Consider the following 19,920-nt stretch of genomic DNA (forward strand, 5'->3'; position numbering starts at 1 on the left):
GGCGCTCGCCTGACGTCCCCGCGCGCTGCGTCAGACCAATGGCGATGGAGCTGAGTTGGAGCAGAGAAGTTTGAGTAAGAGATAAGGAAGAGAGGTGCCCGAGCCGCGCCGAGTCTGCCGCCGCCGCAGCGCCTCCGCTCCGCCAACTCCGCCGGCTTAAATTGGACTCCTAGATCCGCGAGGGCGCGGCGCAGCCGAGCAGCGGCTCTTTCAGCATTGGCAACCCCAGGGGCCAATATTTCCCACTTAGCCACAGCTCCAGCATCCTCTCTGTGGGCTGTTCACCAACTGTACAACCACCATTTCACTGTGGACATTACTCCCTCTTACAGATATGGGAGACATGGGAGATCCACCAAAAAGTAAGAGGCTATTTTACCTTGTGGGGCTCGGTGTGCTGTTCTTGTGCGGGGTTCTCTCTCAGGCACAGGCTGAGGTGCCAAGGGCTCTTTGGAGTTGGAGTCATTGCCTGGAGAAAGAGAAAAGGTGGCTTTTTCTTGTTGCCGCCACGCCTGCATGCTTACTGTCGGTTCTTATCTTCGGGAAACTGATTGTACCTTGTGTGTGAATTCGCCTGTGTGCCCTCCAAAGCTCTAGCTTTCTGGTGCTAAGCGGTGATTTCCTCCTGGGGAATCCTGAGCTCTCCGAGAAGGTTATTATGTTGCAAAGGTCTGCCTGCACAGTCAATGCCCAGAGATGTGAATTAGCATTAGACTTGCAAAAGAGAACGAGTGACAACTGTATTTATGCCTGCTCTTGCTAACAATATCCAGTCCTGTGTGCTATTTAAGAGCGCGCTTCACGGAAAATATAGACATCCCTGCGTTCACTTAACGCTTCTAGTCAAAACCTTTTCTTTGACTTGACTTATCCATAATCTTTCCCAATGATTATAGCAAAGAGGAAGGGGGGGGGGAGAAATACAAAATGAGCGGGTTTGATTGCGTGCTAGGCGTACAAATGTAGACTATTCCAATCTGCATTTTACATATATTCCACCTCCTTTTAAAAATGAGTCAAGGTTTTGATGGCACATTTCAATTACCATCCCAAAGTGCAATGCTCTAAAAAAAAAAAAAAAGAAAGAAAGAAAGAAAGAAAAAAACCTCCCAGAGTACGCCCTATAAGAGAACGACACTAAAAGTGTGTTTATCTCTGTAGGAAGTAAACGGTTAGTCAATCATGTATTTATTTTCATTTCAGAAAAACGTCTGATTTCCCTATGTGTTGGTTGCGGCAATCAGATTCACGATCAGTATATTCTGAGGGTTTCTCCGGATTTGGAATGGCATGCGGCATGTTTGAAATGTGCGGAGTGTAATCAGTATTTGGACGAGAGCTGTACATGCTTTGTTAGGGATGGGAAAACCTACTGTAAAAGAGATTATATCAGGTATGGCATTTACACTTCTTTCTTAATTTTGTGGGATTTCCCTGAATCTCCCCACTCTTTATGTATTATTTGGTGTGGCTTTGTCTTTTTGTGAAGTTTGCCTCAGTGTAGTCATACAAGCCAAAGTTACCCTGTACATGTGTTAAAAAAATCAAGCTATGCTGTTCATTTCATTCTTTAGTTGAGAAAAACAAAAACCCTTAACAGTGGTATTCATAATTCCGGGGTATTGAGGCTTGTTTAATTACTCTTGGAGTTTATGATGCACAAATTATTTTCCTCTTTCACCCTCCCCCTTACAAAACAAAATTTTAAAAAGATGGAGAAGTTTGGATTTTTAGCTTTAAAATAGGGTTGATTTTTGTTGTATAGTGCAGTGTTCTGTTTGTTTTAGTCCTTTTTAAAATTAGTAGCTTACAAATTCTTTGGTGGCATCAATGCAATAGGTGAAATAAAAGTTTGACCGAAGCATGTTTAGAGATGTACTTTGAAAGAGCGAGTACAGGTATTGCTCCTTTTATTTTTGGGGTAAGACCTCCTTCTGAGAAAAATTTAAAACCAACCTAAATATTCCTTGGAAAAAACACCGGAAACTTAATCTTTTTAAATATTAACCCTTTGGTGACATCTAACTGTCTCTTCTTTCTTATCTTATCTGAGCTGATGAATTAGAGCAGATCAAATTGCCCATCATCTGTCTACGAACAATTGGTATATTTAGATAATTGAACAGCTTCCTTTCTCACATTAAAATCTGGTAACTGATAAAATGAGCGAATTGTCCAAATTGACAAGACTGAAACAACATAGGAACTTTCTGAGTTTGGTTTTGTTGTTTTGGAGAGTTTTTGTTTTTTTTTTCCTCCAATTTATTCTGCAACACGTTTTGCTAATCTCAAGTTTCCTCTGACTTGTGTGTATGTATCAGAAACTTTGTTTTCTGCCTTAGAAAGCCAGTAGTCTCTAAAGAAAATTGTATTCATTTTATTAACAAACAGAAGAGACATCAGCATCATTATTATGTTAAATAATAGCAAAATATCACTTTTTAAATGTCCGGTGGCTATTAACAAGTAATTAATTAGCTTTTGTTAGGCAAATGGTTTCTGGAGCTTGAGAACTTTTATTAAAGTTTAGTTAAGATTTAATATACAGTCACAGTTTGCTCCTGCTCACTTAGTATCCAGCATTTTTTTCTTCTTTTTTAAAAATCATGACACAGAGAGTATAATCTTGGTAGATAAAATTAACCTGGTTGGGGGAGGTTAATACTTCGGAGAGGGAGTGAAAGGAAGTAAGGGAAGTCGGGGTACAGGAAGGGGGAGGGATTTTCTAAATTGTTTGGTCACCGCCAAAGTCAAGTCTTCACCCTATGAAATGGAAGATCTCACATTGAGTAGGCGGAGGGAGGAAAAACTTTTGAGTCCACCTTCTAACCTCTGACAAATGAGCGTTTTCATTGTTTACTAGATTGGTGTGTAAACGCAAGATTCTAGAGAAGGAGAGCCCACTTCAGGAGTATCTTTACTGCTATGGAAATAGTATTTTGCTCAATTGCACACAGGCTTGCATGTGCCTAATTCTGGATACACACATGTGTAGAAGGAACTAATCATTTTTACCTTCTCTTCACTCTCTCTCAACTCTGTGTGTGTGTGTGTGTGTGTGTGTGTGTGTGTGTGTAATCTTGTAGTTGTAAAAGCAGAACAGACTGGACAGTTAGATTTCCACATCTCTCCTTGGAGAAGCAGGATGCCTCCTCCTGTTATGTGGATCTTTTCCTCTCTCTTCCATTCTTTCTGTTCGTAGGAATGCCCCAGCTTCTGTTATTCCTGAAAGATGGAGAAGGGGCCAGGGAAGTGCAGCCTAGATGGAACCTATAAAGATTGTCCCTTGGTAAGGAAAGGCCAGGAGTGAGAAAGACCTTAGAAGCGGGTCTTTGCATTTTTTTCATTCTGGTCATGGTTTTCAAGAAAATTGAAATGAGGTAGATGATTCAGCAACTTGAAAAAGATTGAGGGAACAGACGCAGATTTTTTTAAAAAAATAATAATACAAGGAAGAATGGAGAGGAAATTTTCTGTTAACATTGCTGCCTGAAGAAAATCTTTAGTTGGAGAAAGACTGGAAAGTACTTGTGCAAAAGGAGATGTGGAAACTCTCAGAGGTTTCATTTTGTTATTCTGCTTGTTTATTTGTGAGTGTTTGCAAACCGAGTGGGGTGACAATCCCCTTCTCCTACCTCCTTTTTTCTTGGAAGGAGGACTTTTTGTTGCAGTTTTAGACATTTCTAGCAGCAGAAATTGTGGGATAGGGAAGTGAAAGTGTTGGTGTCGGTGGCCACCAGAGTCTTTCTGGATTCCTTCCTGCCAAGATCTGCAAGATCAACACTGGGATTGATTGCTAGAGCAGCAGCCCGAGTTTGGAACCCATCAATACATTTTCTGTGGTACAAGCTAGGTGTTTTGAGCTAAGAGTTACCAACTAAGACAGAGGTTCATCGGAAAGGAAACGGGAGTAAAAGAAAGGGAGGAGGGAGGGAGGGGAAAAGAGAGATGGGGGAAGGAAGAGAGACAGGGAAGGAGAGAGCAGGGTTTCATTTCTGTCCTTCTGTTTCCAACTTCTGTTTGGAAATGCTGTTTACTTGGGGCGTCTTGCCCGGGATCTTGGGCCAGGGAAGTGCCGGCCTGAAGTGACCCCCTCTTCCTGTACTTCTCTCCCCGCTCTGGGCCGCCTCCGCTCCCCCCTCCCCCGCACAGGTTGTACGGGATCAAATGCGCCAAGTGCAGCATCGGCTTCAGCAAGAACGACTTCGTGATGCGTGCCCGCTCCAAGGTGTATCACATCGAGTGTTTCCGCTGTGTGGCCTGCAGCCGCCAGCTCATCCCTGGGGACGAATTTGCGCTTCGGGAGGACGGTCTCTTCTGCCGAGCAGACCACGATGTGGTGGAGAGGGCCAGTCTAGGCGCTGGCGACCCGCTCAGTCCCCTGCATCCAGCGCGGCCACTGCAAATGGCAGGTACTCCTCTGCCCGGCTCGGGTAGGCAGGCGCCAGGTTAAGCCAGCCTGTGTGCCAGCGGCCACAACAACTATGGTAGCTACAGGGGTGGTCGTAGTGTTTGCCTGCAGTTAAATGAAGTGTTCTGTATGCAATTTGCGCTGTGCTCTGCTCCTTTGCAGCAAGGTTCAATGCACTCACTGTCTCCCTTGATTCCCCGAGCACACCTACACCGTCTGTGTGTCTCTATATGGTTACACATAAATGTACACCACTTGTGTACACGTGTATACACACGCCCAAACATTACTTCCAGTTCGCTCTGGCCTCCAAACCTTGGCTTGCTGAAAACGGGCTTCAGCTCCCAGCCAGGTATTCTCCTGCTGCCTAATTAAAGGGGCGGAGCCCCGGGTCCCTGGAGCTTCATCCTTTAACCCAATGAAGGAAGCTTAGGTGGCCTGAAGTCATTTAGTCTCCCAAATCCTTTTTCCTTGTGAGTTGCTTCACACTCGAAATTTTTTTTTTAATTTTTTTATCTTTCTGTGAGAGAACAGGACTGAAAAGATACAGTTTTAAAAACTGCAGGCCATTGCACAGAGTTGTAATATAAAACTGTCAACAAGCTTATCTGCAGTAATTGCCTTTTAAAGGGAGCCTGCTTCTTTAAATCATTCATTCTATATGATTTGGTGAGAATTTCATCTTCAGGCCCATGGTTGTAGCTCTAAATTGACCCCATAGGTGTTGGCCTGACCCTAGGGGGTTGTAGAAGGTGCAGGATTTGTATCATGTAGATAAGAGGACTCATTCCCAAGGAAGAGGAGTGGAAACACAGCAAGGTTGGCCGGGACCAAAGCAGTGGGTTAGAAGGTGGACAGTGTTTCCAAACCTGACTTCCTGCCATGAATAGATCTACCCCTTTGCAGTTTTAAAGTATCAATTCCCACTAAACACTGAAGGTGAGGAAACTATAGCCCTCCCTTACCCTTCTGCCTTCTGGCAGCTCTAAGAATTCTGTTCAGGGGGATTTGTGACTAGTTTGCACCGGGGCACGGCTGGGGTGGTGCTCCTGTTCAGTGGAGCCTGCACTCTGCTTGTGGGGAAGCACAGAGGAAGCTAAAATACCGAGAGGGAGGCGGGGGACATCTCCCAGCCACCGTTTATCTAGAGCCTAGGCAGCTCAACAGAGTTTCCGTTTTCCACTGCTTGGGATCAGCCCATCTCAGGAACATCCATGTATTACCTTAGATTTAATACTAAGAGCAGGGATTGGAGATATGGCAGAAATAGCGAATCTCTTCAGCCCCTTCACATGACTGTCCTCTCGGACTGAAGTTCAAGGCGTTCTGGCAGAGTTCTCGACCTTCCCCTTGCAGAAGTCCCTGCTGGTGTAGTATTTATGGCTGTCACTGAAGTGCTCTGCGTTCCTTTCCCTGGTACCCTCTGTGGCCTTGGCCCAAGAGAAAATTCTGATCCTGGAGAGGGTGGTAATCAATGTAACTGGGGCCCAGTCTGGGCACAAGGAAAGGTGAGAATGGAGGAGAAACAGTGCTGAAAAATGCCACCCCTGCTGTGAACAGGGGGACAGACTTTGAGACCTGCTTCCCTTGGCTAACACTTTGTTGACACGAGGAGGGGCGAGTGCTGCGTTTCAGGCCGGGATTACTCAGCAAAGACCTCTGCAGATTAGAGAGGAAGATTTTATTCTCCCTTTCACCCTCTTCGCCCCCACCTCTGCCGCCCCCTGCTTTGTGTGCTGAGGCTGCAAACCCTAGCCATTGTCCTGAGTATCTCGGGCGGGCGAGCAAGTAAGCGGGCGGGCGGGCGGGCAAGCGAGCGAGCGAGCGAGCGCGCGACCGCGGGCGGGCCGGCAAGCGAGCCTCCAGCCCAGCGCTCACGGCGCTCCTTGCCCCGCAGCGGAGCCCATCTCCGCCAGGCAGCCAGCCCTGCGGCCCCACGTCCACAAGCAGCCGGAGAAGACCACCCGCGTGCGGACTGTGCTGAACGAGAAGCAGCTGCACACCTTGCGGACCTGCTACGCCGCAAACCCGCGGCCAGATGCGCTCATGAAGGAGCAACTGGTAGAGATGACGGGCCTCAGTCCCCGTGTGATCCGGGTCTGGTTTCAAAACAAGCGGTGCAAGGACAAGAAGCGAAGCATCATGATGAAGCAACTCCAGCAGCAGCAGCCCAATGACAAAACTGTGAGTGGCTCTGGGGCCGGGCAGGGAATGCGAGGGGGAAGGAGACGCAGCGTGCGAGGTGCGTTCCTGGTACGCAGGATCGCACGGTTTTCAATCCTGCTCCTGGGCAGGAGTTTGGCCGGGGCTGCCCCTCATCCTTACCCCCCTACCCATGCCCCGGGGGACAGGCTACCCGGCGCCGGCCGCCAGCTGAGGGCGGGGAAGCTGGGAGGCTCCGTGCGCCGGGGGAGCAGCATCCAGGTCCCAACCTCGTGGGTGGGCTCATGCCCTTCCACCTCGCCTGTACCTGTGAACCGGAGAAACGCCGTCCTCCCCTCTGAGGGCAGGCGGCAACGAGGTTTGGCCCGGGTTTTGCCAACATTCAGATCGTCAGTTCCTCACGTACACAAGAAGAGGGAGGGATAATACCTTGGATTCCTGCCTACATCCAGGGGTTCCGTGGGCAGGTCACCCTGTGAGCCCCCAGGGCGCACCGCACTTCTAAGTAAGGTCGGCCGCTGCGCCTTCAGGCTGGCGAGTTCCCCCAAGGTGACCCGCATGCCCAGATCACCCTCTGCTCCAGGTGAAGCCCAGGCCTCCACAGAGGCATCAGGCCCCTCGCACCAGTATCCACTGTTATCTTGGTCCCACGGAAGCACCCACTCTGCAGGCCTCCTGGTGAAGTTAAGCTAGAGTTTCTTTTCTTCCTTTTTTTCTTTTCTTTCTTTTTCTTTTTTTTTTTTTTTTTTTTTTTTTTTTTTTTTTTTTTACTGCTTTGGACCTATTTTTAAATGCCATAAAATCTGCTGTCATTAAACTTGGCAGGCTGGCCAAGATTGGGCCAGGGCACTTTCTGAGTTGGTTAGTGCATAATAGCACAATAGGAACCAGACCCAAATGCTTTGGGGGGATGGAGTGGGGGGCTGGCTCTTCCTTGAGGAGAACGGCTTGGAAAAAATCTGCAGCTAACTGAAACTGCTCAGAAAACCACCCTGTCTAGAGGCTGAAGGGAAGCCCTGCTTACCTCAGCTTTTTAGTTCTGGGAAGCTATGGTCTGAGAAGGCAGAGGGGAGGAATTGGGCTGAGCTGTGAAGGTAAGGGGGAAGAAGAAAATCAAAGTAGAATTTGGTTTAATAAGGTCCATGCAGACCTAATAGTCCAGCCCACAGAGGCAGAAAAACAAAACAATAAAACAAATTGAATTCTAACTAATATCCGTAGGTACGGCGGATTAACTGAGTCAATAAAGACCACTATATAGATAAGATAATACCAGGGTATATTTGCTTAGCCTGTGCAGACAACGGAGGGAGGGAATTTGCTCATTAACATGTTGGGATTGGTTGGGGGGCCTATTCACAGAATATCCAGGGGATGACAGGAACTCCCATGGTGGCTGCCAGTCCAGAGAGACACGACGGTGGCTTACAGGCTAACCCAGTGGAAGTACAAAGTTACCAGCCACCTTGGAAAGTACTGAGCGACTTCGCCTTGCAGAGTGACATAGATCAGCCTGCTTTTCAGCAACTGGTAAGTGTCAGCTCCCAGATGGAAGAGGCTGAATTCCCAACAGGAGACTCTGGTTTAACTGTCACACATTGAAAGATTCAGTGGGGAGGGTGCCTTCTTGGGCTCAGGGTTGGGGAGAAACCAAGGAGGTGGGTAATGAAGAGAAGGGAGACAAATGCAGGGAAAACGAACCTCTTGGCATCTTTTTTTTTTTAATGAGACTGCATAATTTGACCATATAGGTTGAATTTTCTATCAATCAGGCCTTCTTTGAAGGATTAATTTCAAGGTACCTAACTCTAGGTAGCATGTGCCAGAAGATGTACAGTGTTGGAGAATCATACATCTTAGAATTTTAGAGTTGTCAAGGACTTCAGGAAATCGTCTTGGCATTTCAATCAGCAATTAGTAAGTTTATCCTTCCTGAGCATCTAGAGAATGGGATATATAGGACCCAAATCAAGGCGATTGTAGTATATAATCAATGCTATAATACACAATCAGTGTTGTTATCAATAAACAGCAGGCATGTGTCTGGGTACAATTTTCAAATATATTAATAAAGATTATTCAAATAGATGAATACTTTTTGTTACAGTATCCCTTGCTGGGAATGTCTTAATCTAAAATGTAGGACCGTTTAAATGTTTTCAAGTGTATGAGTTCAAATGTCATAGAGACACACAGTGTGTACCATGTATAGCAAAAGGGACATGAGCTCTACCAATCAGAAGTAAAGTGTTTAATCTGTGAAAACCTTAACATGTTTTCCACATCCAGAGAGGAGAAAATTAATTCACTTTTTGCCTACAAAAGGCTTAAGGGGTCAAGATAAATAAGAACAATAAATATATGTCCTTTGTAATATGCTATATTTATATAGATGATTTTTTTTTCTTAAAGAGTAATCAGCCTTATAGAATCTTGTTTTATAAAATGTAAAGATCTATCCTGAAACCTTGTTCCCTTTTTTGGAAATGAAGCTTTAGTTGAGGTTAGCTTTTTACCCTCATATTTACCTGGAGGGCATTTGCTTTCTCAATGTCAACAGTTAGGTAATTGGCCAGAGGCAAGTGGTTAAAAGGGCTTGGCCCCAGGCTTGTGTTTGCAAATGCTAAGTGGGTGCAGAGGCTAGAAGTCCCTTAATCTCATATTGGAAAAATTTACTGTAGAAAGAAATGTAGGCTCTAGAACTAGGAAAAAAAAATTATTCTAAGCTCATTAATCTGTTGAGTTATTTGAGCGAATCCTGAATCACAGGAGGAAGGTAAGGGGAGGCTTCAGGGCAGCCAAATGTTTGCACTTTCTGAAACTTTAGTGTCAGATGAGAGCAGTGGAAGGGAAGCTGAGGCAGGAGTGGGCATAGTTAGAGAAGGTTTACAACAGCAGTACAATGCGTTTAGGGTTAAAAGAAGGAGTCAGATATTTAAGAAGGAGTCAGATATTAGGGTTAAAAGAAGGAGTCAGAATGGGATGATGTCATAATATATGGGTCTCATTTTGGAAGGAAGAGCCTGATTTAAAGAGAGAGAGAGAGAAAGGCCAAGAGGCAGCAGGACCAACAAGGAAGAATGCCCAAGCTGTGAGCCTGCTGAGGAGTTAATCTTTGTTCTGTGGAGCCTCCTCTCAATCTCCTGTCAAAGGATCTGAGCCTGTTACGGATTTTCCAACTGAAGAAGAGAGTCTTTGATGCCTAGAGACTGAGAGCTCACCTACTCCCAGGGCAACATGTAGCCAGCAGGATAATTTTATTTCGAGCATGCATAGTAGAGTTGTGATGCCATTTTACAGTGGGAAACACATTTGTTCTTAAATAATTTAATGCAACATAATGTTGGGAATTCAGTTTCAGTTAAAACAGAGATCTTTTGGAAGATGGGAAAGTGAGAGGATTTCTTCCCAAGTTTTTCTCCTCTAGGCTTTCTCTAAGCCTGTTAAAATTCAGTTATCTATGTGAATATCTTTACATATCTATCTACACAAACATTTCTACATATACAATATGATGAGTTTATAATCTTTTTATGAATACTATTCCAGTGTCCTTTATTTATTTCTCAACCTTCTATGCAGGTCAATTTTTCAGAAGGAGGACCGGGCTCTAATTCCACTGGCAGTGAAGTAGCATCAATGTCCTCTCAACTTCCAGATACACCTAACAGCATGGTAGCCAGTCCTATTGAGGCATGAGGAACATTCATTCTGTATTTTTTTTCCCTGTTGGAGAAAGTGGGAAATTATAATGTCGAACTCTGAAACAAAAGTATTTAACGACCCAGTCAATGAAAACTGAATCAAGAAATGAATGCTCCATGAAATGCACGAAGTCTGTTTTAATGACAAGGTGATATGGTAGCAACACTGTGAAGACAATCATGGGATTTTACTAGAATTAAACAACAAACAAAACGCAAAACCCAGTATATGCTATTCAATGATCTTAGAAGTACTGAAAAAAAAAGACGTTTTTAAAACGTAGAGGATTTATATTCAAGGATCTCAAAGAAAGCATTTTCATTTCACTGCACATCTAGAGAAAAACAAAAATAGAAAATTTTCTAGTCCATCCTAATCTGAATGGTGCTGTTTCTATATTGGTCATTGCCTTGCCAAACAGGAGCTCCAGCAAAAGCGCAGGAAGAGAGACTGGCCTCCTTGGCTGAAAGAGTCCTTTCAGGAAGGTGGAGCTGCATTGGTTTGATATGTTTAAAGTTGACTTTAACAAGGGGTTAATTGAAATCCTGGGTCTCTTGGCCTGTCCTGTAGCTGGTTTATTTTTTACTTTGCCCCCTCCCCACTTTTTTTGAGATCCATCCTTTATCAAGAAGTCTGAAGCGACTATAAAGGTTTTTGAATTCAGATTTAAAAACCAACTTATAAAGCATTGCAACAAGGTTACCTCTATTTTGCCACAAGCGTCTCGGGATTGTGTTTGACTTGTGTCTGTCCAAGAACTTTTCCCCCAAAGATGTGTATAGTTATTGGTTAAAATGACTGTTTTCTCTCTCTATGGAAATAAAAAGGAAAAAAAAAAAGGAAACTTTTTTTGTTTGCTCTTGCATTGCAAAAATTATAAAGTAATTTATTATTTATTGTCGGAAGACTTGCCACTTTTCATGTCATTTGACATTTTTTGTTTGCTGAAGTGAAAAAAAAAGATAAAGGTTGTACGGTGGTCTTTGAATTATATGTCTAATTCTATGTGTTTTGTCTTTTTCTTAAATATTATGTGAAATCAAAGCGCCATATGTAGAATTATATCTTCAGGACTATTTCACTAATAAACATTTGGCATAGATAAATAAATAAACACAGTGATCCAGGGTCCCTCTTTTATGTTTACAAACAAGCTATTCAAATGTCTGAAAGTAAGGATTGCATGTGAATTGGGGTAAACTGACACACAGTAGGGGTGATATTGTATTGCAAGTAGTTAAGGTCGAGTTTGCATGTTTGGGTTTCAGTAGTTGGATCAAAGTTGGTTGGAAGCCCCTTAGCTCTCAGCTATGATAATGCTACTGGTTTTGTGAAAATGAGATGCTGTTCTCTGTCCTGCCCCTCTCTTTCCTTCCCCCAGTCTCTTTCTTGCCATACCCCACCCATCCACCCACCCCAAATAGGAAGAGGGTCTTGCTTAAAATGGCTTTTGATTCAGAGTCACTATTTTATTTTCTTAGAATACGTGATTTATACCAAAGTCTCCTGCTTGGGATTGTTGAAATGACCCATATGTCAAATATATAAGCTCTTGGTAAGAGAGACTTTCTGCCTAGCCAGTGAGGTATGACCATTATTTACCAGTGGCGGCTGTCAGCCGATTGAGAAATGCTGCTCTATTTGTGCAGAAGGAACAGGCCTAGAGAAGAGAGTATGCTCTGCAATTCCCAGACTAGTCGGTGTATGCATTTTCTTGCCTCTTCTCCCCTCTCCCACCTCCGCTTCGTCCCTTGCCCAAGTCCAATTTCAAAAATCTTGGGAAGCATGACTGGCTATGGAGAGAAACATGGCATATATACTGTTGGGAAACCACCTTTTATGGGATGGGGTAGCAGGTCATGTGCTTTGCTGGACCCATCAGCTATCAGGGTTACGGGCATGCTCTCTGGGACAGACTATTCCTCCCCTGGCATTTAGCAATAGTTCAAGTGCAAGAGCCAGAACCCTGGAAAAGATAAATGGCACTGCCCGAAATCGGGCTTCTTGGTGCTTCTTCATTTGCTGGCATTGAATTAGGATTTGGGGCTCCACCCTGTTCCCCCTCCTCCCTTTACCCCACCCCAGGATGATGCTTTGACTCTGGAAACTGCATTGATTTGTATGCGCGAGTGTAATGCCATTTTCAGTACCTGACAATTCTTATTATGAAAGCTAAAGTACCCTAATTGTGTGTCATGTGGCGTACCCCTCCAGGCTCGATAGGGTGAGGTGGAGGCTGTGCCCCCCAGCTCTCAAGTCACTTTCACCCTCTGCAAACCTGCCTCAAGTCTGGAAGCCAGCCTCAATTAGGCTTTTGTTTGGCTTGGTTCTACATAACGGGTTAATTACAGGCTCTAACGTGGGGGCAGAGAGAAAACAAACTTTGCATTGAAAATGTTACAGTGCATTAGACATGCCCGTTGATTACTTTGATTGTTGTGTCTAATTCTTGACAGAGGGGTAATAATTTGGCTGGTGGCAATAATGGCTTGCAGTCTTCTGCTGAGAAAAACAGAAGTTATGTCTTATCTCACACGGATCTTCTCCGGGAAAGGTTTTTTTGTTGTTGTTTGTTTGTTTTGTTTTGTTTTGTTTTTCACTCGGATCTCCCTCCTCTAATCTCTTGCCAAGGGACTTTACTCTTTTAGCTTCCCATTCACTATTTCTATTGGTCTCTTTTTTCCTTTTTCCTCACCATCATAGCTGAAATGGCAACTAATATGCATGTGTAAGGATGGCAGGTTCAACATGAATATTGGTGTCATGCCTGCAAAGTTACTGAGAGTCCAAGCCTTCCTTACTTGGAAAACACTGGACCCACTTCCCCAGCCGTAGCCTCTGGTGGACTCAAAAATGTTAGGGACTAGAGATGGAAAACACTTTATTTAGGATTTGAATGCAATAGAGAGACTTAAGTGAGGCACCCATCTTTGAGAATCTTTTTCCTCCTCGAATTGATGAATTGATTTCTAAGATTAAGAATATGTTTGCATGTTTGGGTGGGGGGCGTTGATGTTTTACATACATAGATGTCAGTATTCTGAAGTCCATCGCTTGAATTTAAGCACAATAATTTAGGGAGGGGGTGATGAATGATTTGGTTTCACTTGCTAGATTCAAGATATTTGTTGCCTGATGGCTGAGAATGGATTGATGGGTCAATAGCATTCTAGTTCTTTTATTATTTATACGAAGGTGTGTCTTCCCCTTTTAGACTCCTCAGCCTGCACTCTAAAATGTGTAGCTGAAATGTCATTTTGTTTGCAAATCATCTCTTGCATACTTTTCTCTGCACACCTCTGGAGACTGAGTTTTGAGCTCTGCTCTTGTAATGAAATTCCTCTTGTTCGTTATTATCTTTAATCGTCCCTCCCTTATTACTCTGAATTCTTCCTTCTGGACATTATGACTCATTTCCTCCAGCTTCTGCAAGCTAAAATTTAATGCAGCTAAAAAACATCTAGTATGCTCCCCTTAAATCAGAAAATTCATATCAATATACATAGTCTTAAAGTCAGGATATTGTTTCCCCTGTAGTTTCAGCGCAATGCTATCTTCCATTTCAGCCTATTTTCCCTCTATCCCATTCATCAAATGAACTTGGGTTTTCTTACAAATCAAAAAAGTTCTTTTCTAAGTTAGAAGCATGTTTGAAGATTTTTTTCTCCTTTGAAACAAGGTTTCTGGTTATTTGTAATTCTGTGTGTACCCACTTGCCCATTGACGACTTGCTTGGAGTTCACGATTAAATAGATGACTTTGTGATGCTTGGCTGCTATTCACCCTGATCAACTTGTTAAACTCATAATGTTGACCTCTTTTCTGGTGTATCTTATCCTTTTGAGACTAGCTAAAAAGACAATGTGCTTTCAGGTTACGTTGGAAGTACCTTGTATTTCCCTAGCACCTTGAATTTTAAGCCATAAGATCTATCTCATGAAATGTAACTGTTGTAAAATCCCATGTGGCTTTACTTAGCGTTTTCTTTTTTCTAAAAAAAAAAAAAAAAAAAAGTTTAAAGAGTTAAGTTTGGATGGCACCCAGCCACTTTGGGTTTTTAATCTCATTCCTAATACGAGTGAACTGTCTAAGCAGAAAGTACTTCTTTTCTTATTTGTAAAGTTCAGTTTAGTCAACTTTTGTAAATGAGATTCATCATCCAAATGATGCCTGAGTTCTATTTCTTTAGGAATATTTACTTCCTTTTCACTAATCAACAATTAAAGATTTACGTCGCAACAGGGCAAATTGTTTTTCTTGGGGGTGGGGCACAAGAAGAAAAAAGGAGGGAGCAATTTTTGTGTATTTATTTTAAAAATGTTCTCTTAAAAAAACGGCCCCACATCTTGAATTCTCAATAACTATTTACAATAAAAAGTAACTTGTACAGTGTGAGTTGGTATTTTTAAACTAAAACGCAAGGAGTTAATTCAAGGCTCTGGCAGCCGATTTTGTTTACTGATCTTTTCTGATTGTTGTTTTCTTGATAATGGAGCAAGCCACTGAATGGCTGTTTGAGCCCAGGCGCCACAAACATAAACTTCACAGCTTACAATGTCCCAAGCCGTGATGGAGGATCTCTCCACACCTCCCAGAGACTTCTGAAGTGTAGACAGAGAAGTTGGTTCACAGGGAGCGAAGGAGGGGGAGGGGCGGCAGGGAAGGCTGCTGAGTGTTTGCTGTGAGCATTGTTACTATCACATCCTTTAATTTTTATGGTATTTAAGCTGTTGGCTCCAAGAAGCCAGTTTCTCTGTCTCGAGGAAGCCAGTCTCTTCCCGGAACTGCACTTAGGACTCCTTGATTCTAATTTCTAAAAATTTATTTTGCAAATCTTTCTGCTTAATTATCTGTCCGCAAGAGCGCTCAGCATTGAGAAGCAAAAGATTCTAAAAAGAAAATTATATATATGTATGTGTGGGCATACATGCATATATACATACATATATAATATACACATACCTATATGTAATTTTCTTTATATCATTTATATGTGTATGTATACACACACACAGCCCCCAAAAGAGACCACCTGGATTTGGAAGAAAGATGTATGGTAAGATTGCTTTTTGCCAGGTTGGGAGGAAAGACACATTGATTCTCCCTTTCCGAAGCCATGTAAGATTCTACTTAGCCTTAGAACTGCTTATTCCTTGCCTGGGATCCTCTTTCCATTACATTGATCAAAAGTTAGTGTTCATTTTGAAGTGATGTTATTTGTGGATTTGACCGAGTTAGCTACTTAATTTTGCGCGTTGTCCCATTGGTTCTACCCCCAGGTGCGTTGCCCACGTCCAGCGGGCAGGGCAGCGCAGCGCCTGTCTGCACTCAGGTTAGGGGTGGGAAGTGCTGGGAATGGGGGACCCGGACACTGGTCTAACCAGCCCCGCCACTCCCGCGGGCAAGTCAGCCCTTGATCCTTTAAAGCAGGGACAATCGACGTGGTCCGAGAGAGGAAAATAAGGGTATTTCTGGGCCCTTCTCTTTCAGGAGTTGATCAGGTTGGCAGATCTGGAGGGCTAATCCAAACAAGGCGCTTGACTTGTGAGGTCGCGAGTCTAGACAGAGCTGGTGGCTCGGCGGCTCCTTATCTTTCCCTGGAATCAGCCGAAGAGGCGCTCCCCGGCCCACTCCGCTCGGCTCGCCCGGGTCCGGAGCCACCGCTCGACGCAGACGGCACAACAAACAGCACCTGAGGCTTTATAGCTCGCTTTATTGTTTAATGGAGAATGCGGCATAACATTCATTTGTCTTCTTGGTTCCGCGACCTGGCCGCTTTGCAGCCACAGACGCTGGGTACGGGCGTGCGCCAGCGCCCGGCCGTTATGGTCCCCATGTTGAGCAGCGCCGGGCGTTCCGCTTCGGCATCGCGCGTGTAAGCGCGCACGGCTCTGTCCGTGCGCCCTCAGGCCCCTGGAGAGGTACCCAGCTGCAGCCCCTTTCTTGCTTCCAAAGCCCGGAGGCGGAAGGGTGGAGGGACAGTGAAAGAAAGCTTAGGCGAGGTGTCTTTGACTAATCCAGTATCTCCTCTTGCTGCTTGGAAATGACAGTTTTGCGCCAAAGCCATTTATGGTTCGCAGGGTCAGTGGGCTCTGACTCAAGGGCAATCAATAAAATATTTAGTTCAGTAATAAGCTGAGTTTTTTTCCCGAATGTACCGAGAAGGATGTGTCACCATCTTGGACAAGGTGTCACTGCGTAGCCGATCGCCCTTTCCCCACTAATGTAAACAAGTGGCGTGACTTTCCAGTGTTTTCGTGACCACTTCACGGGACACATCATGGAAGCCTTGGTCCTCCCTAACAGGCTGCCACCACAAAGAGAATGGCAGTGTTATCCACTTGGGACCAAGGGAACTATTGGGACAGATTTTGTAAAGCCCTTTTTGGAGGAGCCAATAGCTGGGCTTGGAGATTTATAGTCAAGGATTTTGTGGCTCGAATTCCAAATTAATTGAGATTAAGTTGTTTATAATTTTGGCCCTTCCCTATGGGATTTGTTTTTTCTTGTTTCAAGAAAAGGGGGTTTCTAGTTACATCTTAGAACTGACTATTCTAGTTTACAAGTGTGTGTGTGTGTGTGTGTGTGTGTGTGTGCGCGCGCGCGCGCGCGCCAGATAGAAAGAGAGAGATTGGAATAGAATAGGTACTACTGCCTCTGTCTGAAAACTACCTATAGATGTAGGTGAGAGTAATTTGGTTATGTGCCTAACGTGGTGTTAATGCAAACACCACATTTCCCAGGTTTGGTGACAGCGAAAATCCACATCTTCGTGTTTTCCCTGCCTGTTTTCTGTGTCACAGCTGTGTGTCACCAAGAAAAAAAACAACAAAACAAGGCAAAACACAAGTTTTGTGAAATTGAAGAATATCTGTAGGGAGATTTATTATCATTATTTCTTTCTCCAGAAAACAATCCTTAGCAATAACTCAGGCACAGACTTTTCTTTTTCTCATGGGTAAAGGTTACTGTTTATTTTGACCTGTCACAAATACAACGTGTTGTTTGAAACATGTTAAAGTTAGCAGGTATGTAGAGATAATACTAGACAGGCCACTGAATATGATAAAGTAAAATATGGTGGGAATTAACTTTTAAAGGCTATGAAAGATTTTACTTTTTTCTAATAGCTTTTTAATTAATATTCTTTCAAAAAGTATTAACTATTTTCTCAGAGTTCTGTAATAAAAAAACAGTAAACTTGTTCAATGCACAGTAAAGATATGATTTGCAAAATGTTACTTGTGCAGGTTCTATTCTGTGATTTTTTTGCTGATTTTAATTACTCATATTCTCGTTTAGTTTTAAATAAGTTTTCTTTCCCTCCATAAAAAAAAAAATTGCCCACACCTAGGTAAAGACATGTTTTGTCTTAAAATTTTCAATTCTTATTTATTAGAACAACTATTAATTTGGTTTATTAATTATAAACAGGAGGTTTACTCTACAAATAGGTTTAACAAAAAAAAAATTTATCCCTGATTTTTGGAAGGATTAGGAGGAAACAGAAAAAAAATGAATGAGATTTGTAAAAAGAATATATACTTTGAAACAGTGTATTTTAAGTATGGAAAAACTTTTGGGCCCAAGTAGTAAAAATCTCATATTAAACTCTAAAAGTATAACTGATGGTTATTTAAATTTTTATTTCAGTAGTCCAAGAATTTTTGTTATAGGAGATCAGTTCTCAAAAAGAAATAGTTGAAATAAAAATAGGCTGGCAACCTAAAAAGCAGTGTTTCATTTACCAAAAAAATGAGTTATTTTGTTTTTAAAATACAGCAGTTCACTTTCACTAACATGGAACGGCTGATATCTGAAAAGATTACATGTGAAAAATATGGATTAGCAGTTTCTGAAGAATAACACTTTTTAGTAAATTCTGAAATAATTCATTTACTTTCCTCCATAACATATGGAGATATTTTGGAGATCGCTACTTAGAATTCTGTTTTTGTATCAAAGCACATTTCATATTTTAAGACTATGATGTATTCTTAAAATCTTCGCAACTTCAAAGGCACTAGTCACGTTAACAGTTTATACATGGGCAAATATCTATCTATTTACTAGAAGTTGAACACTTGGGTGAAGGACGCTTTACTGCCGATAAAAACTTACCTTTTAGTTCTGTTATCCCATCAGGATGGACTCATAAGTCTCATTAATGTTAATGGAAAATGTCCTTGTCTGTCATGTGGAAAAAAGGGCTTGGAGATATTTCAACCAGCAATTTCTTTGTAGCAAGTATGCTAGGGCTAAAACCACCTAAGAAGTAATTTTGATCCCATCTAGGCCCTGGAAATATGTTGTCTAATAAATGAAAATAAGCATGTGAAATGGTAGGATTAGAATTGACTTTAAAGACAAATGCATTATAGAAGGGGAAAAAAAGGCCTGAAAATATTTTTCTCATACTTCCGAATTTTAGGAGTAATCCCTTAGTTAACTGACAGTTCAGAAATACTGCTGCTAGGTAGGTGATATAACTTCTCTGCTACCGAGATCTAGAACCAAAGTTGCTCTATACTGCTTACTTACCACATAGGAAGTTGTTTGTATTCAACTATTTACTGGAATTTGAGTGATGCTTTGTTTATGTTTTCATTTTGTAATAGTGATAAATTACATGAAATCAATCTCGTGGATAAATATATGCATTCCTAATGTGTATTGTGGCAGCCTTTGGCTGTGGTCTAGAGTTTTCTCTAGGGCAAAGCTAAGTCTCTGGTATTGGACTAGATTCTCTAACATTATAGAACTGAGAGTGATAGTCCAAGATTATAAATGATGAATGTTGTTCACATTCAATATTGTTTTGGTTATTCAAGCTAAAATATTCTAGAAGCACTACGTAGACTGTTTTAATTCTTCTTTATAGGGAACATTAAGAAAGGAGTCAGTTTCTTCTAGAGTGAGAGGTGCATAGTGGTTGTTTCTGCCATGGCGTAACACTTTTCTATCTGTAAAGCACTTCACAGTCATCAGTTATGCATGAGAGCCACCAGAGCCCGTTTTCCTAATGACCTCTGTACCTGTTTTTCAGAACAACTCTCAGTTCCCTTGTTTTTCCTTCATATGTGTAATAGCAGAACTTCAAAGAAGTCCTTGGTGACTCGAGTGAGGACTATTTTAGATCAGATAATGAAAATTATTTTACCAACATTTTCAGTGATTTCTAGTCTTCTTACTTCTAGGAAGTGAGGAAAGAAGATGACGGGGAAAGGGGTGGGTGCCAAAAACTGTAGCAAAACTATAATTTATCACCTTAAAGCAGTGGCTCCCAAACCTGCTTTACACTCTTAGAAATTATTGAGGACAAAAACGGAACATGGGAAGGGACAAATAAGGGAATAAAAGCTGGCCATCCCAGCCAGCAGTGGCAACCCGCTCGGGTCCCCTTCCATGCTGTGGAAGCTTTGTCCTTTTGCTCTTCACAATAAACCTTGCTACTGCTCAAAAAAAAAAAAAAAGGAAAAAGAAAGAAATTATTGAGGACCTCAAAGGTTTCATTTATGGGAGTTATATCTATGAGTAGGTACCATATAATATATTAAAAATAATTTACAAATATTAATTCATTAAAAATAACACTACATGTTAATGTAAACAACGTTTTAATAAAAATAACCATAGTTTAA

General features: G+C 42.5%; 1 protein-coding gene across 2 annotated transcripts, besides 6 other annotated features; it reads left to right on the forward strand.

Moving 5' to 3' along the window:
• On the forward strand, positions 111-11,393 carry ISL1 (ISL LIM homeobox 1). 2 transcript variants are annotated; one of them, NM_002202.3, is made up of 6 exons: positions 111-362; positions 1,204-1,393; positions 4,153-4,412; positions 6,309-6,595; positions 7,937-8,104; positions 10,157-11,393. In NM_002202.3, exons 1-6 carry the CDS (start codon positions 335-337, stop codon positions 10,271-10,273), a joined length of 1,050 nt encoding a protein of 349 aa, NP_002193.2. In that variant the 5' UTR covers positions 111-334; the 3' UTR covers positions 10,274-11,393. The 2 variants fall into 2 exon arrangements, with proteins under 2 accessions (NP_002193.2, XP_011541682.1); XM_011543380.3 differs by lacking the exons at positions 111-362; positions 1,204-1,393 and adding an exon at positions 2,852-3,289.
• Positions 1,820-2,348: an enhancer, noted in NCBI's record as "ISL1-reporter-2". NCBI's record gives the evidence for it as "EXISTENCE:reporter gene assay evidence [ECO:0000049][PMID:23455426]".
• Positions 2,150-2,204: a protein binding site, noted in NCBI's record as "oligo 1". NCBI's record gives the evidence for it as "EXISTENCE:protein binding evidence [ECO:0000024][PMID:23455426]".
• Positions 2,165-2,348: an enhancer, noted in NCBI's record as "ISL1-reporter-2del 3". NCBI's record gives the evidence for it as "EXISTENCE:reporter gene assay evidence [ECO:0000049][PMID:23455426]".
• Positions 2,233-2,288: a protein binding site, noted in NCBI's record as "oligo 3". NCBI's record gives the evidence for it as "EXISTENCE:protein binding evidence [ECO:0000024][PMID:23455426]".
• Positions 9,454-9,985: an enhancer, noted in NCBI's record as "OCT4-NANOG hESC enhancer chr5:50688625-50689156 (GRCh37/hg19 assembly coordinates)". NCBI's record gives its function as "activates a minimal SCP1, AML or CMV promoter by ChIP-STARR-seq in naive H9 embryonic stem cells {active_cell/tissue: H9 hESC(naive)}" and the evidence as "EXISTENCE:reporter gene assay evidence [ECO:0000049][PMID:30033119]".
• Positions 11,049-11,764: an enhancer, noted in NCBI's record as "OCT4-NANOG hESC enhancer chr5:50690220-50690935 (GRCh37/hg19 assembly coordinates)". NCBI's record gives its function as "activates a minimal SCP1, AML or CMV promoter by ChIP-STARR-seq in naive and primed H9 embryonic stem cells {active_cell/tissue: H9 hESC(naive and primed)}" and the evidence as "EXISTENCE:reporter gene assay evidence [ECO:0000049][PMID:30033119]".

Source organism: Homo sapiens, chromosome 5 (genome assembly GCF_000001405.40).
Source record: "Homo sapiens chromosome 5, GRCh38.p14 Primary Assembly".
NCBI lineage: Eukaryota > Metazoa > Chordata > Mammalia > Primates > Hominidae > Homo > Homo sapiens.

Coding starts and splice junctions, on each gene's coding strand:
- ISL1 (NM_002202.3), top strand. CDS start 335: ATGGGAGACATGGGAGATCCACCAAAAA. Junction 1,394..4,152: donor TGTAAAAGAGATTATATCAG/GTATGGCATTTA, acceptor TCCCCCGCACAG/GTTGTACGGGATCAAATGCG. Junction 6,596..7,936: donor AGCAGCCCAATGACAAAACT/GTGAGTGGCTCT, acceptor GCCTATTCACAG/AATATCCAGGGGATGACAGG.